Source organism: Homo sapiens, chromosome 22, assembly GCF_000001405.40.
Source record: "Homo sapiens chromosome 22, GRCh38.p14 Primary Assembly".
Classification (NCBI taxonomy): Eukaryota; Metazoa; Chordata; class Mammalia; order Primates; family Hominidae; genus Homo; species Homo sapiens.
The window spans coordinates 18,027,729-18,053,891 of record NC_000022.11 but is presented as its reverse complement, the minus strand read 5'-3'; the positions used below and the strand labels follow the sequence as shown (position 1 = coordinate 18,053,891).

General features: G+C 48.9%; 1 long non-coding RNA gene across 1 annotated transcript, besides 2 other annotated features; it reads right to left on the bottom strand.

Moving 5' to 3' along the window:
* Positions 1–15,923: 15,923 nt before the first annotated feature.
* On the bottom strand, positions 15,924–24,507 carry LINC01634 (long intergenic non-protein coding RNA 1634). The gene is made up of 2 exons (NR_024417.1): positions 24,338–24,507; positions 15,924–18,132 (listed from the first exon to the last, which is right to left on the bottom strand). It is a non-coding gene; the product is annotated as a long intergenic non-protein coding RNA 1634 (long non-coding RNA).
* Positions 24,318–24,417: an enhancer, noted in NCBI's record as "active region_18646". NCBI's record gives its function as "activates an Ori minimal core promoter by ATAC-STARR-seq in GM12878 lymphoblastoid cells {active_cell/tissue: GM12878}" and the evidence as "EXISTENCE:reporter gene assay evidence [ECO:0000049][PMID:35858748]".
* Positions 24,458–24,527: an enhancer, noted in NCBI's record as "active region_18645". NCBI's record gives its function as "activates an Ori minimal core promoter by ATAC-STARR-seq in GM12878 lymphoblastoid cells {active_cell/tissue: GM12878}" and the evidence as "EXISTENCE:reporter gene assay evidence [ECO:0000049][PMID:35858748]".

Below are 26,163 nucleotides of genomic sequence, written 5' to 3'. Positions count from 1 at the left end.
CAGCCCTCGCTCGCTCTCCGTGCCTCCTCTGCCTGGGCTCCCATTTTGGCAGCACTTGAGGAGCCCTTCAGCCCACCACTGCACTGTGGGAGCCCCTTTCTGGGCTGGCCAAGGCCGGAGCCGGCTCCCTTAGCTTGCAAGGAGGTGTGGAGGGAGAGGCGCGAGCGGGAACCGGGGCTGCGCGCGCCGCTTGCGGGCCAGCTGGAGTTCCGGGTGGGCGTGGGCTTGGCGGGCCCCGCACTCGGAGCAGCCGGCCGGCCCTGCCGGCCCCGGGCAATGAAGGGCTTAGCCCCCGGGCCAGCGGCTGCGGAGGGTGTACTGGGTCCCTCAGCAGTGCCGGCCCACCAGCGCTGCGCTCGATTTCTCGCCGGGCCTTAGCTGCCTTCCCGCGGGGCAGGGCTCGGGACCTGCAGCCCGCCATGCCTGAGCCTCCCACCCCCTCCGTGGGCTCCTGTGCGGCCCAAGCCTCCCCGACGAGCGCCGCCCCCTGCTCGATGGCGCCCAGTCCCATCGACCACCCAAGGGCTGAGGAGTGCGGGACTGGCAGGCAGCTCCACCTGCAGCCCCTGTGCGGGATCCACTGGGTGAAGCCAAGCTGAGCTCCTGAGTCTGGTGGGGACGTGGAGAACCTTTATGTCTAGCTCAGGGATTGTAAATACACCAATTGGCACTCTGTATCTAGCTCAAGGTTTGTAAACACACCAATCAGCACCCTGTTTCTAGCTCAGGGTTTGTGAATGCACTAATTGACACTCTGTATCTAGCTACTCTGGTGGGGCCTTGGAGAACCTTTATGTCTAGCTCGGGGATTGTAAATACACCAATCAGCACTCTGTATCTAGCTCAAGGTTTGTAAACACACCAATCAGCACCCTGTGTCTAGCTCAGGGTTTGTGAATGCACCAATCGACACTGTATCTAGCTACTCTGGTGGGGCCTTGGAGAACCTTTGTGTCCACACTCCCTATCTACCTAATCTGGTGGGGACGTGGAGAACCTTTGTGTCTAGCTCAGGGATTGTAAACGCACCAATCAGCGCCCTGTCAAAACAGACCACTCAGCTCTACCAATCAGCAGGATGTGGGTGGGGCCAGATAAGAGAATAAAAGCAGGCTGCCCGAGCCGGCAGAGGCAACTCGCTCTGGCCTCCTTCCTTAGTGTGATAGCTTTGTTCTTTTGCTCTTTGCAATAAATCATGCTGCTGCGCACTCTTTGGGTCCATACTGCCTTTATGAGCTGTAACACTCACCACGAAGATCTGCAGCATCACTCCTGAAGCCAGCGAGACAACGAACCCACGGGGAGAAAGAAACTGAACACGTCCGAACATCAGAAGGAACAAACTCCAGACGCGCCACTTTAAGAGCTGTAACACTCACCGCGAGGGTCCGTGGCTTCACTCTTGAAGTCAGTGAAACCAAGAACCCACCAATTCCGGACACAACATGACCTGGGGCAACTCACTGAAACCCCGGTGCCTCTGCTGCTGCTGCCTTTTTTGTGTGTGTGTTTTTTGGTTTTTTTTGGAGATGGAGTCTCGCTCTGTTGCTCAGGCTGGAGTGCAGTGGCACGATCTCGGCTCACTGCAAGCTCTGCTTCCCGGGTTCACGTCATTCTTCTGCCTCAGCCTCCTGAATGGCTGGGACTACAGGCGCCCACCACCACACCCAGCTAACTTTTTGTATTTTTAGTAGAGATGGGGTTTCACCGTGTTAACCAGGATGGTCTCGATCTCTTGACCTCGGGATCCGCCCGCCTCTGCCTTCTAAAGTGCTGGGGATTACAGGAGTGAACCACCGCGCCCGGCCCTTTTTTTCTTTTTTGAGACAGAGCCTCTCTCACCCAGGCTAGAGTACAGTGGTTCGATTTCAGCACACTGCAACCTCCACCTCCCGGGTTCAAGCGATTGTCCTGCCTCAGCCTCCCGAGTAGCTGGGATTACAGGCACCCGCCACCATGCCCAGCTAATTTTTTTTTTTTTTGCATTTTTAGTAGAAACGAGGTTTCACCATGTTGGCTAGGCTGGTCTTGAACTCCTGACCTCCAGTGATCCGCCTGTCTTGGCCTCCCAAAGTGCTGAGATTACAGGTGTGAGCCACCATGTCCAGGCTTCTTCTTCTTTAAAATATATCATAGCATCTACTCCCTTAGAGGAGTTATGTGAAGATTAAATGAGTATGTGTGAAGCGGTTAAAACAGTTCCTTGCACAGCACAATGTAAGTGCTATTCATATTAATTTTTTTTAATTTTTTTGAGACAGGGTCTTGCTTTTTTGCCAAGCCTAGAATGCAGTGGCATGATTGTGGCTCACTGCAGCCTCCACCTCCCCAGGTACAGGTGATCCTCCCACCTCAGGTTTTGGGGGTTTTTTGGTTTTTGTTGTTTCTGTTTTTTTAGTAGAGGGGTTTCACCGCATTGTTCAAGCTGATCTCGAACTCCTGAGCTCAAGCAGTCTGCCTGCCTTGGCCTCCCAAAGTGCTGGGGTTACAGGCATGAGCCGCCGCATCTGCCTGGTATTAATATTAACGTTAAGGGAATCTCCCCTCCCCTCCCTTCCCCTCCCCTCTCCTTTTCTTTTCCGGCGTCTCACTTTGTCACCCAGGCTGGAATGCAGTGGTGCAATCAGCTCACTGCAACCTCCGTCTCCAGGGTTCAAGCAATTCTCCTCCCTCAGCCTCTGAGTAGCTGGGATTACAGGCGTGTGCCACCACACCCAGCTAATTTTTTTGTATTTTTAGTAGAGACGGGTTTCGCCATGTTGGCCAGGCTGGTCTCGAACTCCTGACCTCAGGTGATCCACCCACCTCGGCCTCCCAAAGCGCTGGGATTACAGGTGTGAGCCACTGCACCTGGCCAATCTTTTCTTTTTAATTACAAATAACAAGAGAGAGGATTGGGGGTTAAAACTTTGGGAGAGAAAAGGGAGAAGCCACGTAAGCAGAGAAGAGATGGTTCCAAGAGTCCCCATAGAAACTTGGCCTCAGAGAGGGACAGAGACCCTTCTGCTGCTGAAACAAGGCAGCCTACAGTCCCCAGGGTGTCCTGTCCATCTCCACCATGACTCCTGCCCAGGACCACCCCAGTGCTCAAGCAGGGCAGCCTCACCTGCTTTAGCACAGAAGCCTCCTGTCGGTTTGTTTCTCTGGGGGCCTGATTCCCTGAAGCAGCAGCAGGTTTCCCACCATCTTTATCGCTTTACCTCTGCCCAGGATTGCCACACGCGGTGCATGTGGGGAAGAGCTCATTGGGGAAGATTCTGGCAGAAAGATAACCAGAAAGTTTGCACCAAAACCCAGCCTGACCTCTCTCTCCCCTAAAAATCGGGTGCATAGACTTCCTGTTCCTTGCACAGCATAGTAATCCGTTTTGTTGCTAATATTTACCAGCCTTATCCAACTGTGAGGCCAGGCTTCCTCTGAGGCCTCTGGGACCTACCCCAGCAAACGGGTCCTAGAATCTCCACTGCCTCCCTTAAATGATGGGCTAGGGAGTGACTGGGGAGACGCAGGGTAGAACCCCAAAGACGTCGTCCTCATACTGTTCCAGACAGAAGGAGCCAAGTCTTGATCTGTGCTGGCAAAGTAATTTTTCAAACTGGAATTGCTGGTAAGGCTGCTTCCCTAAAAGGCAACTCAAGTCCTGTCCTCGGCCTGCCTTTCCCTGGAGCCATGGCTCCCTGCCATTGTGCAGACACTTCTCTAGATTCTCTAGGGCACAGGGTTCTTCTAGTCCATTCTCCCCCATCTCAACCCCTTAACTGCCCTCTCAGCTACCCTCAGCCCACTCAGGATAACAATGAACATTTGGAAAACTTCTCTAATAATGCTCTAGAAAAGCAAAAACGGCGCGGTGGCTCTCGCCTGTAATCCCAGCACTTTGGGAGGCTGAGGTAGGCGGATTACTTGAGGTCAGGAGTTCAAGACCAGCCTGGCCAACATGGTGAAACCCTGTCTCTACTAGAAATACAAAAAAAAAAAAAGCCAGGCATGGTGGCGGGTGCCTGTAGTCCCAGCTACTTGGGAGGCTGAGGCAGGAGAATCACTTGAACCCGGGAGGTGGAGGTTGCAGTGAGCCGAGATCGCACCACAGCACTCCAGCCTGGGCGACAGAGGGAGATTCTGTCTTAAAAAAAAAACAAAAAACAAAAAAAGCCGGGGCGCGGTGGCTCACGCCTGTAATCCCAGCACTTTGGGAGGCCGAGGCGGGCGGATCATGAGGTTAGGAGATTGAGACCATCCTGGCTAACACGGTGAAACCCTGTCTCTACTAAAAATACAAAAAAAAAAATAAATTAGCCAGGCAAGGTTGCGCTCGCCTGTAGTCCCAGATATTCAGGAGACAGGTGGGAGGATTGCTTGAGCCCAGGAGATCGAGACTGCAGTGAGCTGTGATTGCGCCATGGCACTCCAGCCTAGGCGACACAGCGAGACCCTATTTCAAAAAATTAAAAGATGGGTTCAGCCGGGAGCAGTGGCTCAAGCCTGTAATCCCAGCACTTTGGGAGGCTGAGGTGGGCGGATCACCTGAGGTCAGGAGTTCAAGACCAGCCTGGACAACATGGTGAAACCCTGTGTCTACTAAAAATACAAAAATTAGCTGGGTGTGGTGGCAGGCACCTGTAATCCCAGCTACTCAGGAGGCTGAGGCAGGAGAATTGCTTGAACCCGGGAAGTGGAGGTTGCAGTGAGCTGAGACCATGCCACTGCACTCCAGCCTGGGCAACAGAGCGAGACTCAGTCCCGGAAAATAAATAAATAAATAAATAAAAAGATGGGCTCATCGAGGACCATGGGTCTCCTTTGCTCTGCTCTCTGCAGAGTAGATTCATTAAACAGAAGGAAAGATGAGGGAAGCACAGCCAGTGCTGAGGCCCCCTCAGGCCTCCTTGGGTTTTCACGCCAGGAATCAGAACCGTGGCTCAGGCCACGTGTCAAAATCACAATTTGCCATCCTTCTCTGCTCTAGGTGCCACCTTTCTCGCAGTCTTCACCTGAGCCTTGAGGTGAATTCTTCCTGTGGGTCCATCTGACTTCCCAGGCAAGAAACAGGAGAGGCTTTTAAAATCGCTATGATTACTTGAACACCTGAAGCACTTGGAATAGGAGGGGAACAGGAAAGGAAATCCGTTAAAGGCACTGTGAGGCAGATAAAACGCGGAGGGCGGAGAGATAACTGGGTGGAAGGCGCTCGTCACAGCAGCGAGCGGCACGTGGTGTTTGCCGAGCTCCCTAAATGGACAGGGGCAGAACGCGTTTCTGTCTGCCTTTGCACGGAAGGAACTAATCCCCTTGGAAAAGGAATGGGTTCTAAGAGGGTCAAAGGAGTTGCTCGAGGCACCGCGTGATTCTGCGGCAGCAAGGGAATGTAAACCAGCTGCGCGCAGGCAGCGCCTCCGTGCCCGTTCTCGTCGGGCGTCGGGCTTCCTGTGTGGTCCGGAATCGGTCTTCTGCTTTCTGGAATCTTAAATGCACTGGCAGATGAGGGGGGGACTTTAGAGCTATGTTCCTTAAATATTCTCAGGCCCTAGAGAAAAAGATTCTTGTTTATTCTCATTAGCTTACTTATGTTTCATAACACCCGCACCTTCTGCCTAACAAAACGTGAGGTGTGACTCCATACACAGAGAACGTCCGGAGCACCGGACGATGTGGGGTGAGATTCCAGGAGGCTATTTGGGATCATGTACGTGCCATTAGCACTGCTTTCTTTCTGTTTTTGTTTAAGACAGGGTCTGGCTCTGTCACCCAGGCTGGAGTACACTGGCACGATCAGGCTCATCTACAGCCTCCAACTCACATTCTCAAGGGATCCTCCCACGTCAGCCTCCTGAGTAGCTGGGACTACAAGGGCTTACCACCATGCCCGGCTAATTTTTTTTTTTTTTTTTTTTTTTTTTTTTTGTAGAGATAGGGTCTCGCCATGTTGCCCAGGCTAGCCTTAAACTCTTGGCTCCAAGCAGTCTCCCATCCTTGGCTTCTCAAAGTGTTGAGATTACAGGCATGAGCCACTGTGCCCAGCCAACAGTAGCAAGAAAACCCTGTCTCTAAGAAATAAAATCGTTATTTAAAAAGTCAATGTAGTTTGTTGGAAAGTATTGTCAAGGCTAATAAAGACATGTTGTTCCCCGCCGAGGGGCCCTAGGTTCTTCTAAGCATCATCGTTGTGTGTGGCGAGATCTGCATAATAACTAAACTTCTGAAGAAAGTTCTCTGTTTTAACTCAGTCATGTGGCCCTTTGGGTTGACCTGTCTGCTTCTTTTTCCTTCTATGAATGATGATCTGGTTTTGACCCAACTGGATGCCCTCCCAAATGCTATCTAGATACACCTGAAGTTCAATTCGTTCAAGTTCCTATCTTGAAGCCAAACTGCAGTCAGCGCCGTTTTCAATGGTGGGGTTCTGTATTCATCTTCAGAAAGACCCAGTCAGTAGTAGGGCGTGCCCGGTGGCTCACGCCTGTAATCCCAGCACTTTGGGAGGCCTAGGCGGGCGGATCACGAGGTCAGGAGATCGAGACCATCCTGACTAACACGGTGAAACCCCGTCTCTACTAAAAATACAAAAACTAGCTGGGCGTGGTGGTGGGTGCCTGTAGTCCCAGCTACTTGGGAGGCTGAGGCAGGAGAATGGCGTGAACCCTGGAGGCGGAGTTTGCAGTGAGCCGAGATGGCACCACTGTACTCCAGCCTGGGCAACAGAGCAAGACTCTGTCTCAAAAAAAAAAAAAAAAAATTTAGCCGGGCATGGTGGCATGTGGCTGTACTCTCAGCTACTCAGGGAACTGAGGTGGGAGGATTGCTGAAGCCCAGGAGATTGAGGTTGTAGTGAGCTGAGATCGCACTCCAGCCTGGAAGACAAAGTGAGACCCTGTCTCAAAACAATAAAAATAATAAAGAATAAAATTGAATGATTGTAACCAAATTTCACACAGTAGAAAAGCGCATAAAATAATTTTGATGGCCAGGCTCAGTGGCTCACACCTGTAATTCCAGCACTCTGGGAGGCCATGGCAGGCAGATCACCTGAGGTCAGGAGTTCAAGACCAGCCTGGCCAACATGGTGAAACTCCATCTCTACTAAAAATACAAAAATTAGCCAGACATGGTGGTGGGTGCCTATAATCCCAGCTACTCGGGAGGCTGAGGCAGGAGAATCGCTTGAACCTAGGAGGCAGAGGTTGCAGTGAGTCGAGACCACAACATTGCACGCCAGCCTGGGCAACAAGAGCAAAACTCTATCTCAAGAAAATAATAATAGGCTGGGCACCGTGGCTCACGCCTGTAACCCCAGCACTTTGGGAGGCCCGGGTGGGTGGATCACCTGAGGTCAGGAGTTTGAGACCAGCTTGACCAACATGGAGAAACCCTGTCTCTACTAAAAATACAAAAATATAGCTGGGCATGGTGGTGCATGCCTGTAATCCCAGCTACTCGGGAGGCTGAGGCAGGAGAATCACATGAACCTGGGAGGCGGAGGTTGCGGTGAGCCAAGATCGTGCCATTGCACTCCAGCCTGAGCAACAAGAGTGAAACTCCATCTCAAAAATAATAATAATAATAATAATAATAATTTTGATGTGGGTTTCATTCATTGTCTTGAATGAAAATGGCAGCCAATGTTAAAAGTCTGATGTTTTCATTGGGTGTCAGTGACATTTGACAAGTAGCAAAGGCTACATTGATATCACTGTTACCCAATAAAAACATTAGGCAGAGGCTACTTGTCAAATGGATGCCTTGTGAGAAGACAAAACCTGAATCTGACACCTCAAAAAATAACCCATTGGGTGTACTAAATGTACCCATTAAAATACTGCCAATGTTTTCATAGTTAACAATTGTCCTTTTCACACACATCAGCAGGATGTGTGATGTGTCACTTTATGTAATAATTACGTAATAATACTTTCATATTATTAGCTTTTTTGAGTATATTTTAATTACTAATTAATCTCATTTTATTTTTTGAGAGAAAGGGTATGTAGAAGTGAGTATTTTAAAAATCAGGGCCAGGCACAGTGGCTCACGCCTGTAATCCCAGCGCTTTGGGAGGTCGAAGCAGGTAGCTCACTTGAGCCCAGGAGTTTGAGACCAGTCTGGACAATATAGTGAGACCCTGTCTCTATAAGAATTAGCAGGGTGTGGTGTTGCACGCCAATGGTCCCAGCTACTCAGGAAGCAGAGGTGGGAGGTGGGAGGATCGCTTAAGCCCGGGAAGTCAAGGCTGCAGTGAGCTGTGATCGCACCACTACACTCCAGCATGGGTAACAGAGCAAGACCCAGGGAAGTACAAATGGCTATTTTAAGAGGATATATGCAGCGCCTTGTGGATCTGGTAAGAAGTCCAACCAGAATATCTAGGTCTCGGGCCTGTGGTAGAACTAAGACTTCAGGTAAGGATTGATGAGGTTGCGGTGGGCCTGGAGAAGTAAAGAAAGAGAGAGGAAGGATGAGGGCACCAAATTGGTTCTACTTCCTCCTGAAGGCCTCCTAGCAGAGGCCATCAGCCAACAGCAGGTGCATTGCATAAACTGGAATGTGACTGGAAGAGATGTCTTAGCCTTGTGCAAAGACTGTGTCTCAGTTATACCGAGCTGATCCTGCTATTCAAATCCTACAGACCTTATTGAACTTCCAGACTCCACCCTCCAGAGGGTCTCCTCCCTCTCCTATACTCCAAAACCCTGAGCTCTTCAGGACTCCATCTGGCCTGTACAGGTGCCCCCCAGGCCCTCCAGAGAGAGAGAGGACAGCATTTGGCTCCTGGGCCCTGGGGTTTCACTCTGAGGAGGTGGGTGGACAGGAGGGTGGGAGCCGGGAAAGAAAGTCGGGAGGGCCTCATCTCCAAGTTAGAGAGTTGGCCTGATGAGGAGAGCGTCGGCGAATGGCGTCTTGCTGTTATTTCTCTGTATCCCTGCTGGGGATGGGAGTTCCTGGCAGCTGGCCCTGGCCCTGGCCTTGGCCTTTGTCTCCCTACACTCTCCTCTTGGCACAGCCAGAGGCTTTCAGTGTTGTGCTTTCAGGGTCACATGGTTTAAGCTTTGCACAGCTGCTGGGGGAAAAAGAGAGAGTGAGGGAGAGACTGAGACAGAGAGCACCCGCTCCATTCTTACCATATATGAGGCTAAGCGATGAGTATCGGCATGACTCAAAGCCCAAGAAAGCAAATCTCTGCCTGACTCTCACCCTTGGCTATGGAACACATTGCCTCTCACCCTATTTCTGGGCTTTTCACACCCAAATCCTCCCCTGCCCTCCACACACAAGCTTCCACTGACCTCCCGTGCACCCTCCCCTGAGTACACACACACTGTCATACCACACAAAAGATGTGTGTGCGTACTTTCTATCAAACCCGTGGAAAGAAAAGCCAACAACTTAATCAACCTAATAACTTTTGCACAACATGGTGGATAAGAGTTTGCTCTGGCAATTCACACACACACACACACACACACACACACACACACACACACGAATGCCCATGCCACGGGTGTTTATCCTTCTTTAAGCTTTTAGAATCTCTGTCCTTGGTCTCTCTCCAGTATAAATTCTTGAGTGCCATCTCCTGTTTTTCCACCAATGCTGCACCTTTCCCATCAGAAAAGTTACCTACTGCGATCAGAATTCTCACACCATGGAGTTTCAGAAGCCAGCCCTCCCGTGTCCCCAGGCCGCCAGTGGTCAGTGTTCCTCCTCCGCCTCTCCCACAGCACCTTGGCCTGTGCTGTGTAGCTTCTGCATGCTTCTATCACTGTTTGTAGCCTCCATCAGCAGCTGCAGCCAGCACCAGCCAATGCAGGTCGGGACCATGGTCTGCCTCATGCTGCTTCAGGCCACCTTGCATTGTCTTCACTAGCTTAACATCACGAGCGGTCACCGGTAATCTGGTCTTACAAAGTATGGTTATGATGCAACATGATTATTTTTTTAAACAAACATACTAAGTCTTAAATATTCAAATAAGGCTTCAAATAATAATGTGATCACCGTCACTGCCATTGGTCTCTAACCTCTCAAGGTCATCAATGGGAAGGCAGTGTTCACTTAGATGAGAATTTTTTTTTTTTTTTGGCAACAGGGTCTTGCTGTATTGCCCAGGCTGGGGTGCCAACACGGCTCACTGCAGCCTCACAATCTCCTGGGCTCAAGCTATCCTCCTGCCTCAGCCTCCCAAGTAGCTGGGAGTACAGCTGTGTGCCATCATGACCAGCTTATTTTTTAAAATTGTTTTGTAGAGATGGGGTTTCACCATGTTGCCCAGGCTGGTCTCAAACTCCTGGGCTCAAGTGAGCTGCCTGCCTCAGCCTCCCAAAGTGCTGGGATTACATGCATGAGTCAACATGCCTGGCCTACATGTGAAATTTTTGATATATTGTTCCCAAGCTAGTATCTTTTTTTTTTTTCCGAGACGAAGTCTCACTGTCTCGCCCAGGCTGGAGTGCAATGGCACCATCTTGGCTCACTGCAACCTCCGCCTCCAGGTTCAAGCGGTTCTCCTGCCTCAGCCTCCCAAGTAGCTGGGATTACAGCTGTGCACCACCATGCCCAGCTATATTTTTGTATTTTTAGTAGAGACGGGGTTTCTCCATGTTGGTCAGGCTGGTCTCAAACTCCTGACCTCAGGTGATCTGCCTGCCTCGGCCTCCCAAAGTGCTGGGATTACAGGCATGTATTATTATTTTATAGGCCCAGTTCTGCTACATCTAAGAAGTTTTGAAACATAAAGATAACCAACAAATATAATATAAAAGCCTACATTGCTTATACCTTGGTTTGTTTGTAGGAATTGCATCCTGTAGAGTAGGGGTTGGCAAACTGCAGCCTGGGGCCAAATCCTGTTTTTGTGTGACCTGCAATGCAAGTTAAGAATGGTTTTGATATTTTTTAGATGAGTCAAAAAATCTAAAGCAGAATAAGATTTCATGATACATGAAAATTACATGGAATCCAAACTACAGTGCTTATAAATAGTTTTATTGGAGCACAGCCATGCATATTTAGTGACATTCTCTGTGGCTCCTCACACACTGCAACAAAAGGTCAAGTCATTGCGACAGACACTATGTGGCTTGAAAAACTGAAAACGTGCTGTCTCGTCTGTTACCAGAAACGTTTACTGACCCGTGCTCTAGGTGTTACTTTTCAATCCTTGGATATCTTTGGGAAAAGATACGAATCTTTTAGGAAGAAGTGTGGTTTACTAGAAACGGAACCCTTAAATAACAATGGCTTAAACAAGGTAGAGAATAATTTTTATTTTACATAAAAGAAGTCTGGAGATAAGCAGATGGAACTGATACAGTAACCCTGTGGTCATCGGGGCTGAAGCTTCTTCTGCCTTTCTCCTCTGCCATACTTACTGCATGGCTTCCATCTTTAAGATCGCCTCACAGTCACATAATCGGTGCTGGAACCCTAGTCATCACATGGTGTTCCCAGTAATAGAAAGTGGAAGAGGTCCTCTCCCTCTCCCTCTCCCTCTCCCTCTCCCCACGGTCTCCCTCTCCCTCTCTTTCCACGGTCTCCCTCTCCCTCTCTTTCCACGGTCTCGCTCTGATGCCGAGCCGAAGCTGGACTGTACTGCTGCCATCTCGGCTCACTGCAACCTCCCTGCCTGATTCTCCTGCCTCAGCGCCGCCACGCCTGACTGGTTTTCGTATTTTTTTGGTGGAGACAGGGTTTCGCTGTGTTGGCCGGGCTGGTCTCCAGCTCCTAACCGCGAGTGATCCGCCAGCCTCGGCCTCCCGAGGTGCCGGGATTGCAGACGGAGTCTGGTTCACTCAGTGCTCAATGGTACCCAGGCTGGAGTGCAATGGCGTGATCTCGGCTCGCTACAACCTCCACCTCCCAGCCGCCTGCCTTGGCCTCCCAAAGTGCCTAGAGTGCAGCCTCTGCCCGGCCGCCACCCCGTCTGGGATGTGAGGAGCCCCTCTGCCTGGCTGCCCAGTCTGGAAAGTGAGGAGCATCTCTGCCCGGCCGCCATCCCATCTAGGAAGTGAGGAGCGTCTCTGCCCGGCTGCCCATCGTCTGAAATGTGGGGAGCGCCTCTGCCCCGCCGCCCTGTCTGGGATGTGAGGAGCGCCTCTGCCCGGCCGCCCCGTCTGAGAAGTGAGGAGACCCTCCGCCCGGCAACTGCCCCGTCTGAGAAGTGAGGAGCCCCTCTGCCCGGCAGCCACCCCGTCTGGGAAGTGAGGAGCGTCTCCGCCCGGCAGCCACCCCGTCCGGGAGGGAGGTGGGGGGCTCAGCCCCCCGCCCGGCAGCCACCCCATCCGGGAGGGAGGTGGGGGGCTCAGCCCCCCGCCCGGCCAGCCGCCCCGTCCGGGAGGGAGGTGGGGGGGGCGGTCAGCCCCCTGCCTGGCCAGCCGCCCCGTCCGGGAGGTGAGGGGCGCCTCTGCCCGGCCGCCCCTACTGGGAAGTGAGGAGCCCCTCTGCCCGGCCACCACCACGTCTGGGAGGTGTACCCAAGAGCTCATTGAGAACGGGCCATGATGACAATGGCGGTTTTGTGGAATAGAAAGGGGGGAAAGGTGGGGAAAAGATTGAGAAATCGGATGGTTGCCGTGTCTGTGTAGAAAGAAGTAGACATGGGAGACTTTTCATTTTGTTCTGTACTAAGAAAAATTCTTCTGCCTTGGGATCCTGTTGATCTGTGACCTTACCCCCAACCCTGTGCTCTCTGAAACATGTGCTGTGTCCACTCAGGGTTAAATGGATTAAGGGCGGTGCAAGGTGTGCTTTGTTAAACAGATGCTTGAAGGCAGCATGCTCGTTAAGTGTCATCACCACTCCCTAATCTCAAAGTACCGAGGGACACAAACACTGCGGAAGGCCGCAGGGTCCTCTGCCTGGGAAAACCAGAGACCTTTGTTCACTTGTTTATCTGCTGACCTTCCCTCCACTATTGTCCTATGACCCTGCCAAATCCCCCTCTGCGAGAAACACCCAAGAATGATCAATAAAAATAATAAATAAAATAAAATAAAATAAAATAAAGAAAGTAGAAGAGGTGGCCGGGCACAGTGGCTCACGCCCGTAATCCCAGCACTTTGGGAGGCCAAGGTGGGCGGATCACAAGGTCAGGAGATCGAGACCATCCTGGCTAACACGGTGAAACCCCGTCTCTACTAAAAATACAAAAAATTATTCGGGTGTGGTGGCAGGCACCTGTAGTCCCAGCTACACGGGAGGCTGAGGCAGGAGAATGGCATGAACCCGGGAGGCGGAGCTTGCAGTGAGCCAAGACCACACCACTGCACCCCAGTCAGGGCAACAGAGCGAGACTCCGACTCAAAAAAAAAAAAAGAAAGAAAAAGAAAAAAGAAAGTAGAAGAGGTTAGGATAAAAGAGTGCCAGCTTAACTAACTCCCATTAAACAGCTTCCCCGGAAGTTCTACCCAAATATTTCTTCTTACATCTAATTGGCCACCTTCACTTGCAAAAGAGGCTGAGATATGTAGTTTTATGGCTGAGAACATTGCCACCCAGATAATGCCAGGGTTCTGTTAGTGAGGCAAGAGGAGAAAGTAGATAAAGGTTAGGCAACTGGCAATCTCTGCCCTAGGAACAAGTGGCCTTTCCGTATCCTTTTCAATATATGCTGCATACTAGTTTCTCATAAATGTAAGAGTTATTTTTTCAAGCACTATTTTTCTTGTTTGTTTGTTTTTTGGTGGGGACAGGGTCTCGCTCTGTCACCCAGGCTGGAGTGCAGTGGCATGATCTTGGCTCACTGCAACCTCCACCTCCCAGGTTCAAGCGATTCTCCTGCCTCAGCCTCCCAGGTAGCTGGAACTCCCAGGCTGGTAGCCACCACGCCTGGCTAATTTTTGTATTTTTAGTAGAGATGGGGTTTCACCATGTTGGCCAGGCTGATCTCAAACTCCTGACTTCAGGTGATCTGCCCGCTTCGGCCTCCTAAAGTGCTGGGATTACAGGTGTGAGCCACTCTACCCGGCCACTATTTTGTTGTTGTTGTTTGAGATGGAGTCTTGCTCTGTTGCCCAGGCTGGAGTGCAGTGGCACGATCTCAATTCACTGCAACCTTCACCTCCCAGGTTCAAGAGATTCTCCTGCCTCAGCCTCCCAAGTAGCTGGGATTACAGGCGCCCGCCACCACACCTGGCTAATTTTTGTATTTTTAGTAGAGACGGCGTTTCGCCACATTGGCCATTCTGGTCTTGAACTCCTGACCTCAGGTGATCTGTCTGCCTCGGCCTCCCAAAGTACTGGGATTAAAGGCGTGGGCCACCATGCCCAGCCTCTTGCTCCCTCTTTCAACAGGTTTCCTTTTTTCCCACGTCTCCTCTTCCCTAATACCTTGGCATCATGAAGGCTGGAGAGTCACAGCAACCTCTTTCCTAGTTGTCTTGCGTCTAATCCTGTGCTCTTTTTGTTTTATTAACTTTTGTGCTTGGGCCATTTTTTCTTTAGTTTCTTTGTGCCAATAATTATGTAATTACATGAACGGTGACATAATTCTATTCAACAGTACATATTAATGTTCCAGGGACCAGGTACCAAAAAAACACAAAGCTGTTAACAAGAACATCAAACAAACGTGTGGGCTGGGTGCACTGGCTCATGCCTGTAATTCCAACACTTTGGGAGGCCAAGTCAGGAGAATTGCCTGAGCCCAGGAGTCCAAGACCAGCCTGGGCAACATAGCGAGACCTCATCTCTACAAAAAAAAGAATTATCTAGCTAAGCCGGGAGCGGGGGCTCACACCTGTAATCCCAGCACTTTGGGAGGCTGAGTCAGGCGGATCACAAGGTCAGGAGATCAAGACCATCCTGGTTAACACGGTGAAACCCCATCTCTACTAAAAATACAAAAAATTAGCCGGGCATGGTGGCGGGCGCCTATAGTCCCAGCTACTTGGGAGGCTGACGCAGGAGAATGAGATGTGAACCCAGGAGGTAGAGCTTGCAGTGAGCCGAGATCACGCCACTGCACTCCAGCCTGGGCAACAGAGCGAGACTCTGTCTCAAAAAAAAAAAATTAATTTGGTTATTGGTGTTGGCAGGTGCCTGTAGTCACAGGTACATGGGAGGCTGAGGTGGGAGGATTGATCGCTTGAGCCCAGGAGGTAGAGGCTGCAGTGAGCCAACATTGCACCACTGCACTCCAGCCTGGGCAACAGAGTGAGACCCTGTCTACAACACACACACACACACACACACACACACACACACACACACACACAGAAAATGTGTGGCTTGGCCTTAGTCTCTGTCATTTTTTTTTTTTTTTTTTTTTAGATGGAGTCTTGCTCTGTCACCAGGCTGGAATGCAGTGGTGCAATCTCAGCTCACTGCAATCTTCACCTCCCCATTTCAAGCGATTCTCCTGCCTCAGCCTCCTGAATAGCTGGGACTATAGGCACGCACCACCACACCCAGCTAATTTTTGTATTTTTAATAGAGACAGGGTTTCACCATGTTGGCCAGGATGGTCTCAATCTCTTGACCTCGTGATCCACCTGCCTCAGCCTCCCAAAGTGCTGGGATTACTGGCATGAGCCACCTCACCCAGCCCACTTTTCTTAACTCTTTCTAAGTTGATATGTGCTAGGCCAGGCACAGTGGCTCACGCCTGTAATCTCAGCACTTTGGGAGGCCAAGGTGGGAGGATCACTTGAGCCTAGGAATTTGAGACCAGCCTGGCCAACATAGCAAGACCTCATCTCTATAAAAAATTTAAAAATTAGCCTGTGGTGGCACACACCTGCTACCTCAGCCTACTAGGTCCCAGCTACTCAGGAGGCTGAAGCGGGAGGATCACTTGAGCCTGGGAAGTAGAGGCTGCAGTGAGCCAGAGATTGTGCTACTGCACCCCAGCCTGGGTGACAGAGCAAGACCCTGTCTCAAAAAAAAAAAAAGTTTATATGTGCTTAAAAGAACCAAGCCTTTTATTGAATATTGAAGATTCACCAAGGGTTTTATTTGATCATGGTAATATAATTATAAAATCATTATTAATAAGCCATAAAATGTACAAAAGCATATCCAGTGAAAAATAAGTCTCCTTTCCATTTCTGTCCCCCGCCACCAGCTCTCCTACCCAAGATAACCACTTCTTGAGTATTCTCAAAGACGGTCTATGCCTTTCCAAGTCCACGTACATATGTATGCACACGTGCCTGTTTGACGTTTTCCAGCAGAAGTGGTAGCGTATCATACACACTGTTCTGCATCTGCTGTTCCCATTTAGCAGTATGTCTCAGGGATTATCTGCCTATAGCCAGATCTACCCAAAGCTCAGATCGGACCATGAGAAACCAATGAGCAAAATGTGGAATATATACACAATGGAATATTATTTGGGAATATTCTAATAATACTAGAGAAAGAATGAAAGTCAGCCTGCCATGGTGGTTCATGCCTGTAATGCCAGCACTTCGGGAGGCCGAGGCAGGTGGATCACCTGAGGTCAGGAGTTCAAGACCAGCCTGGCCAACAGGGTGAAACCCCATCTCTACTAAAAATATGAAGTTAGCCTGGTGTGGTGGCGCATGCCAATAATCCCAGCTTCTTGGGAGGCTGAGGCAGGAGAATCGCTTGAACATGGGAGGCAGAGGTTGCAGTGAGCTGAGATCATGCCACTGTACTCCAGCCTGGGTGATAAGAATGAGACTCTGTCTCAAAAACAAACAAAACAAAACAAAAAGAACAGTGATTAGTGTCTTGGTAGGCCCAAGCAAGGAGATGATGATGGCTTGTACCAGATCGGTGATGTGAAGTTCAAGAAAAGTGGGCAAATTAGAGATGTATCTTGGAGGCAAAATAGACAGGAGACTGGAGGCTGGCATAGAGATAGAATGCTGCCCAGAGTCTCTAGTTTTTACATCTGGGTGGGTGGTGGGCCATTCCCTGGGGGAAAATTAAGTTCCTGGGACTTGGGAGTCAGGACCCTTCTTGGGTTTTAGTCCCAGCACTGTTTCTGTCTCTGGGAGTCAGGCAGGTGACTTCCCCTCTGTGGGTCTCCTCACCTGATGAGTAGGTAAACTAATTCCTTTCTGAAGTCCCTTCCAATAAAATGGCTCTACAAACTACTAGACCTTGACATGTCAGTGAATATTCGTTTCTGAGGCTAGTTTTTTCCATAGCACTAACTGAGATGTGCTGTGGGCTTTGAATGGGAAAGGGGGACGCAGGGGAGGAGGAAATTTGAGAGGGTAGGGTCCTAGGAGCCTGAAGGTGGTCAGAGCAAGCAGAGATAGGGAAGCAGTGCCACCAAGAGAGACACACAGAAGTGGACACCAAAGGGTGCACAAAAGCTATTCCTGCATCCCAGGCCAGCCAAGGGACAGCCCTCCCATAGAGAGAAGGGTACAAGGGAGGAATTTTGACAACGATTAATCAGTTTCAGTGGGAGAGAAAACCTAAAATACAGCCAGGAAGAAAAAAACTCAGTAGCATGATCCAAATCTGATGGGATTTCATAAGATCTCCCTCTAATCCACTTCCTTTGCTTCATAATTGATTTCGGTTTTAGCCAAAGCAAGCTTCTCAAAGTTAGGCTTTTATCCCCGATCTTGTGCCTGGCATTTGCTCCGGGGGTCTTGTAGCCCCAGTGAAAATGTGAGTTCCCAGGAGGATGAGCCTCATACTTATTTTCTTTTACATCCTTGTATTGTATCCATAACAGAAGCACCATAAATGTTTACTGATACCTCACATCTAGAAAAGTTGCTGCCGAAAAGTCATGCCTTGACCTGGACTTCATGCCTTTGTCTCATAAGTACAGCGATTTGTCACTCCATACTGGACAGAGCTTGGGGGGAAACCGAGGTCTTCTCTGTGGAATGTGAGGTCTTCTGGTCTGTCGCAGGCCCAGGCTTCCCTAAGGTGGAATAAGAAAGGAAGGGCTTCATGTTTCAGAGGGAGAGAGCAGCCGGTGATGCAACTGCTGAGTGACGTCCCAAGGTAACAGAGAGGAGACGGGCTGTGAGCTGCCCTCACCCTGGCCCACTGCCAGTGGCCACCAGAGCAGGGAGTGCCCATAGTGTTGGCCAATCAGACGAGGACTGCAGAACAGGAGAAATGGGAACTGTGGTCCTGAAAACCTGTGCTTTCTCGGCCCGATGAAATGCAGAGTTATGTGATAGCATGCTTCTGACTTTCAATATTCTGAAAAACAACCCAGCAAACATATGTGTATACACATATACAGGAAAGCCTGTACATCTATATGCTTTTACATATGTATATGTATAGCAGAGATCTGCTTGCTCAGGAAATGTACCCATGGATGTGTATGTTGTGATTGATACACACACAGGAATATCCATCTGAGGAGGCTGTGTGCATGTGCCCAGATATATAGAGGGAGGGGCTTTGAGCTGAGCCTGGTCCCAGGTGCCCCTTGCTTGTGTTTCTGGGCAAGGATCGAGCCGAGTGCAGTGAACACGCTCTCTTATTTATTTATTTATTTATTTATTTATTTTGAGATGGAGTCTCACTCTGTCGCCCAGGCTGGAGTGCAGTGGTGCGATCTCGGCTCACTGCAAGCTCCGCCTCCCAGGTTCATGCCATTCTCCTGCCTCAGCCTCCCGAGTAGCTGGGACTACAGGTGCCCGCCACCATGCCCGGCTAATTTTTTTTTTGTATTTTTAGTAGAGACGGGGTTTCACCGTGTTATCCAGGATGGTCCCGATCTCCTGGCCTCGTGATCCACCCTCCTTGGCCTCCCAAAGTGCTGGGATTACAGGTGTGAGCCACTGCGCCCGGCCGTGAACATGCTCTCCTGCTGCGGGCCTCCAACTGCCTGAGGACGCCAGCTGTAACCTTGCCATTCTTCAGCCTTCCCCAAGGCCCTCACCTGCTGATGCAGGAAGTGAACCCCATTAACTGCTGCCTGATTAGCAAGGCTGAGCAGGTGTCTGCCTCCCGAAGAGGGAGCCAGGCTGGGAGCACCCCACAGATAGGTCTGCAGGAGAAAGGGCTACCAGGGGAGCCCCGCCACGGGGGCACCCTTCACTCTCACCCCACAAGCTTCTCCTTTCCATCAGTAGATATTTGACTCAGTAGATTTGAGACATGATTCCTGCTCTTCTTCACTCCACACATTCTTTGCCCACTTCCATTCTGTCTAACTCAAATTCTCTGCTTCAGCCAAATTAGCCTGCTCATGGTTTCCTGAATATAGCTGGAGATTTCCTGCCCCCCCAGGGCTTTGCCTGCTCCGTCGTCTTCTACCCTGGAATGTGCCTCTCCACCAGGTGTTCCACCACCCGCCCCAACAACGCCCCCCACTACCCCCCCTCCACCCGCCTCCCGCCACTTCCAAACACTACCTACAAGAAGCCTTCCCTGACCACCCAACTGAGTGTGCTCTCCCTGCGCAGAACCCTCTCTTAGGTTGGCCATCTGGTACTGGCATTTAGGGTTAGCTTTCTGTGGGCATGAGATTACAGACTTGGTGTTCTCATCAGATACTCTGGTGTGCCTGACCAGAGGCCCCTCTCCAGCCTTCTTTTAAGGCCTTTTAAGTGTCCAGAGTGTTCTAACCCGTCACCCCCAGTTTCTGTGACATTGCCCTTCAAACATGGCACAGACATAATGAGATGATCAAACAAAACACCGTTACTAACCGCACACAGCACATGGTCAATGTGCAACCCCTGCCTTAAACCAAATAGTAACCAATTAAGAGTTTGTGTTCTTATTTGGGTATCTCAGGATGACTGGAAGTCTTTATTTATTGAGTTCTTTACTCCAAGCACTAAGCCTTCTTGATAATCCACTCTGGAAAATCATTTCAGGGGCCCATTTTTGCTGGTTTGGTTTGGTTTTTGCTTTTCTTGGCCTACAAAATTACCTCTAGGAGTGGGTGAATATTAATCTAGGACCCAAGACCCTAAGCTCTGACCTTAGCTACCCATTATGCTGAACTACAAGGATTGACTGGCCAGTTTGGGAATGATTTGAACTGTCTGCACTGTTCTCTTTTGAGCTCCCTGTTTTGTTTTGTTTTTTTCCCTGAAACATCTCTCTAGAGGTTGGCTTGGGTAACAGCAGCATGCTCACTGCTGGAATTCTTGTCCCAGACTCAGTAAGCAGACAGCATTCACCAAGTATGAAGTTTCTGATACCCAAATGTAGTCTTTCCCTCTGTAAGCCAAAATTGTCTGCTTGGGAATCTGAATCAGAAAGTCCTTGGGGGATGTGGAGACTGGAGCGATTCCCAAGTCTGCCACGGGACATAGCTTTCCATGTGGACAGTGATACTGAAGGCTGTGGGGTGGACAAGCAGGAATCCTCCCTCCTGGAAACTTTCAGTTCCTCCAGCCAGTCCAAGGCTAGATTGGGGGTCACTAGAAATTTCTGAGCAGCCCAGGATAGGAAGCCCAGTCTCTAGGGGGACCCTGTCAAAGCCTAGCATCCTTGGCATCTGTTAGATCTGTCTCGGCCTCCAGCTTTGCTTGAGATCACCTTTTGCTTCAAGCTGACTCGATTGCCTGCTGGTCAGCTCTGCCTGGGGCCATCCACTATGGTGACCACATTGGTCTCCTTCAGCCAGCCTTAAATTCTGTCTGGTTCTGTTCCTTGATTGTGATGAGCGTGCAGGTGCTTGCCTCTTCCATACCTCACACACATTACCTGCAAATTTGCACTGCACCTCCCAACCACAGCCCCCTGCCTGCCTGGGACAGAACGTGAGATGGAAGGTGAGAAAAAAAAAATCAAAGCTCTCCGTCTTACTATTTACAAACTGTTCTGGTCAAAAATTGAGTAGAGGAACAAACTGATGAAACTATTCTTTTTTTTTTACTAAAATAAATAGAAATTTCTAATAATCCTTTACATTCTCATAGTATGATCAAGAGTTTACAGAGTGTTGTCATATGCATTGCCATGTAATCCTCACACATGCCCCCATAAAATGGGGGAAAACGGATATTACTATTCCCATTTGACAGATAAGGAAATATGTGCTTTAGAGAAGTCTATTAATTTGCTCAACGTCATGCAATTAATAAATGATACTGCTGGAAATGAAATGCAGGCCTTCTTCTTCTAGGTCTAAAGACATTTTTGAAATACCTCTGGTGTTCACTTATCCTTACTCTTCCTGCCATCCTGTACCAGGGCCAGATCAGAAGTGAATGATCTGAATGCTCTCTGTGTGATCTAAGTGTGGCCTCCATCTGGCTTTTGTCTCGGCAGATTGGGCTAAGTCCAGGGAGGAGCGCTGGCTGTTTCCAGGCATGCGGGCTCATTATGTCCAGGTGGAGGAGAGTAATGACTTACTCACTTTCTTACTCACTTACTCAGTTACTTACTCGGCTTCAAGCCAAGGAGCCTCTCCCAATTCTTCAGCCCCAAGGGGCCTCCTACAGTAAAGAACCCTCACTGGTATAGGGATTTATGCCACTGAGACAATGTCTTTGGTGCCAGTGACTCTGCTGGTTAGAATGAAGGAAAGGGACTGACTCCTGGCTGTGTGGAAACCACAGAAAAGAGGACGAGGTTCCCGTGGGCACATCCTCTGCTTCTTCCTACCCTTGGGCTTAGCTGTGTCTAACAGAAACAGCAGCAAGGGATGCCAAGCACAGACCTGTCCCCGTTCTACGGCCTGGACAAAGCCATAGGCAGGGTTTGGTCTTAGCCCTATCTCCACCCAAGGTGAGATGTCATCATCAGAAAACTCCTATTGGGCATCTACCTGCAGCTCGCAGGACAGCAGTGATTTCTGCAACACCATGCCCTCCAGCAGCAACTCAGGCCCCCTGGTTTTGCAATATCGTGGTGGTAGTTCTAAGTATCCCTGGGGTGGGGTAAAGGGACAGGAAGTGTTGTTGATACATTCTCAATGCTAAATGTATCAAACTTCACACCGATTTAAAAATAAACATATACCATCTGGCATTTTTAGGAAAATGAAGAAGGGATGGGTTTGGGGAGGATGAATTGCTAAGTGGCACAAAAACAGGCTATTACCACTCCAGATAGATGTGAGTCACTCGGAGGAGCTCAGTCTTGTGTCTTTCATTCCAAACCCCTGAGCCAAGCAGACCTGGTAGCAGAGCTGGAGGGTGGCCAAGCCCAGGAAGCCACGCTGGGGGCAGGAAATACAGCAGGGTAGTTTTTAGCTGGTATCCAGGGAACAGAGCGGGTGATGGAAAGAGGAGAGGCAGAGGAAACCCATTACCACCTGGTGTCTTGCTACTAGGAAGATGGAATTCACTTCAGATTTTGGTCCGTTGGTGACTTGATTAACTACACATTGAAGGTAGACAGCTTACTGAGAGACAGAGGGGGTAGTGGGTGAGGACCATAAACTCTGGAGTTGGTAGGATGAAATGAGTAAATATATATAAATCACCTAGAACAGTGCTTAATGTTCTAAGTAAAATACTAATGTTGGTTATTGCTACTACTGAGTACAATGAAGAGCTGCAGTGGAAAGTCAGGGTGCTAGAGTGGCAATAATATGCAACACAGCTGGGTGCCGTGGCTCATGCCTATAATTCCAGCACTTTGGGAGGCCGAGGTGGGTGGATCACCTGAGGTCGGGAGTTTGAGACCAGCCTGGCCAACATGGTGAAACCCCGTCTCTACTAAAAATACAAAAATTAGCTGGGCGTGGTGGCACCCACCTCTAGTTCCAGCTACTTGGGAGGCTGAGGCAGAAGAATCAATGGAACCTGGGAGGCAGAGGTTGCAGTGAGCCAAGATGGCGCCATTGCACTCCAGCCTGGCTGCAAGAGCCAAACTCCATCTCAAAAAAAAAAAAAATGCAACACAAATGCATTTAAGACAGAAACCTGTTCTGCAAAGAGGAAGAGGTACCAGTAGATGCAATTATGGCAGCCTGGGGCTTTCTATAGGCCAAGTTTAGGCTACCTCATTGGAATAATATAATGTAGTTTCAGAACTGTGACTTCCGGCTTCAGCAGGCTGGAAGAAATCCATCTCCCATTAATCTTTCTATCAGACTCCAGGAAAAAAATAAAGCAAAAATATTTTCCTATTTCATCTTTAAGAAAGTCAAATTATTCAAGACACACTGAGCACCTATCTGCATAAAATAGTCTAATGATGATAGGAGTTAAAATGAAGTAAAAGATTTGTTCCCTGCTGTTAAGGATCTTATAATCCCTTTGGGAAGACAAGGTCAATACTGATACAGATGAAAGTATAATCTTCTTCTTCTTGAACAGTAAGAATCTATAACTTCACACATTTCTCTCTTTGCCCAGACTTTGAGCAAAGCTTATATTTAAATTCAGTGCCCAAATTCTGAAGCAACTCACTTTTTCTCAGGAGTCCTTCTGGATTCAATTATTTATTTACTTTTGAGATCTGGTTATGAGACTGGCTAATTTTTTGGTAGAGACGGGGTTTTGCCATGTTGCCAGATTGGTCTTGAACTCCTGGGCTCAAGCAATCTATCTGCCTCGGCCTCACAAAGTGCTGGGATTACAGGTGTGAGCCACTGTGTCTGGCCTGGATTCAATTTTTTATTACGAGTTTTATTTGTTTCTTTTTTAAGATACATATTCTAATGACAAATCATTTGAATCGTTTTGGGAATCAGAAGGTCAAAAGCACTAAAACCTTTTCTACTGGCATGAACTAGCAGTACAAGAAAAATAACCTGACTGGGCATGGTGGCTCACACCTGGAATCCCAGCACTTTGGGAGGCCAAGGTGGGTGGTTTGCTTGAGCCCAGGAGTTCGAGAGCAGCCTGGGCAATATTGTGAGACTCTGTCTCTACAAAATACACACACACACACACACACACACACACCACACATTAGCCAGGTGTGGCGTCATGTGCCTGTAGTCCCAGCTACCCAGGGAGCTGAGGTGAGAGCTCTAGGCTGCAATGAGCTGTGATTATACCACTGCACTCCAGTCTGGGCAACAGAGTGAGACTTTGTGAAAGAAAGAAAGAGAGAAAGAAGAGAGAAAGAAAAAAGAAAGAAAAGAGACAGAAGAAAAATGAGAAAAAAAGAAGAAAAAAGAAAGAAGAAAGAAGAGAGAAAGAAGAAAGAAAGAAAAAGAAAGAAGAAAGAAAAAAGAAAGAAAGAAAAGAAAAAGAAAGGAAGGAAGGAATAAAGAAAGAAAGATCCATGATGAAGACTCACAGAATCTTTGAGTTAAAGGGAACTTGGAAGTCATGGAGTCAACTCCTGTCCCAAAGTAGATATCCTATAAGCTCTCAGATGCTTGGATCCCAGCATTTCCCTAAGCAGACTTCCAGACCATTCTGTGGTGAGTCCGCAATTTTGGAAAATTCTTTGAACAGAAATCTATCTCCCATTCATCCTTATCCCTAATGATCCTCCTTCTGCCCTGCGGAGTGACATAGAACAAGCCACGTACCTCTTCTTCATTGGCAGCCATTCCTATACATAAAGTCAATAATCATGTTCTTCAGAAGACTCCAGGCTAGACATGCTCAACTGCAGTGGCCCCTCATCCTGCTGAGCAGTGCCCAAGGCCTGCAGCCTCCTCCTCTGGTGGATGAACTCTAGTTTATCAAGGTCCCTCCTGGAACCTTGTGCTACAGAGTGGTATAAATATGACCTGGCCAGCACCAAGATTCCTGGGCCAGTTACTCCGTGAAACATCAGGTTACTCTCTGTCTACTAATATAGCTCTGAGGTTTCATTAGCTGTTTCACCAGCTGCTTCCCACGTGGGGCTCTTACTGAACCTGTTGGTTGACTTAACTCCCTATCTTCTGTTTCACATGCACAAGTCAGGCCTCTACTGTGCAATATATATTTTCAACCAAAAGTGCAGGCCATTATATTTATTCATGCTAAATCTGAACTTAGTGGTTTTAGTCTATCAAAAACTCTAGGAAGACCTTTCTTTCTCTTTTAGAGACAGGCTCCCACTCCATTGCCCAGGCTGGAGTGCAGTGATGCAATCATAGCTCAATGTAGCCTCAAACTCCTAGGCTTAAGGGGTCCACTCTTGTGCACCACCACACCTGGCTAATTTCTATTTTTTTTTCCTAGAGACAGGGTCTTGAGCTGGGAGTCCTAGTGCACACCTGTAATCCTAGCTACTCGGGAGGCTGAGGTGAGAGGATCCCTTGAGCCAGGAGTTCAAGGCTGCAGAGCTATGATTGCACCACTGCACTCCACTCCAGCCTGGATGACAGAATGAGACCCTGACTCTTTAAAAAAGTAAAATAAAATAACAGGTTCTCGCTATGTCACCCAGGCTGATCAAACTGCTAATCTTAAGGGATCCTTCTGCCTCAGCCTCCGGAGTAGCTGGGATTACAAGCTCATTCTTAATGTTTATCCTGTCAACTATAGATTATAACTAAATTTTCATCTATTTTTGATTAGCTAGCTATGGTAGCTTTCTGTCATTTACAAATGTAGGCAGCCTGCCTTCAGACTTCAAGATTACTAATGAGATGCAGAGTGACCTTGAACTAGACAGTTAACCTCTGTAGAGCTCTGTTTCCTCATCTGAGGAAAGCAAGGGAGCAGAGAATGACCTCGTAGGTCTCTAGGAATTTCAGTGTACCTTATGCAAATAAAATGGCCAGCTGGTAAAAGACAGGGAAGGGGAAAAAAGCATAGACTGACCCCTTTCACTCATGGTATAAAGTGGTCAAGTAAATGTTCTATGTTCAAATATATGTATTTTAACTTTAAACCTCAGGCATTGTCTTCAGGTAATTAAACTCTGTGAACAACATGGTAGATACCTTCATTCATAATTAAACATTCAATTTTTGCATAGTGCTAGTCTGTGGGGGAGAAAAGCTGCAAAATTTACAGGTATTTTGTCAATTTAATTGCAGTAAATTTGTTCCTAAATTCAGTACGTTATCTAAAACTGCTTGATGAAATATTAGTCTTTTTTTTTTTTCTGAGACAGAGTCTCACTGTGTCGCCTAGGCTGGGATGCAGTGGTGTGATCTCAGCTCACTGCAGCCTCCTCCTCCCAGGTTCAAGCAATTCTCCTGTCTCAGCCTCCCGGGTAGCTGGAACTACAGGCACACGCCACCGCACCTGGCTAATTTTTGTATTTTTAGTAGAGATGGGGTTTCACCATGTTGGCCAGGATGGTCTTGATCTCTTGACCTCGTGATCCACCCGCCTCGGCCTCCCAAAGTGCTAGGATTACAGGCATGAGCCACCGCACCCAGCCAAAGTCACTAATACAAAGTATTAGTCTTAT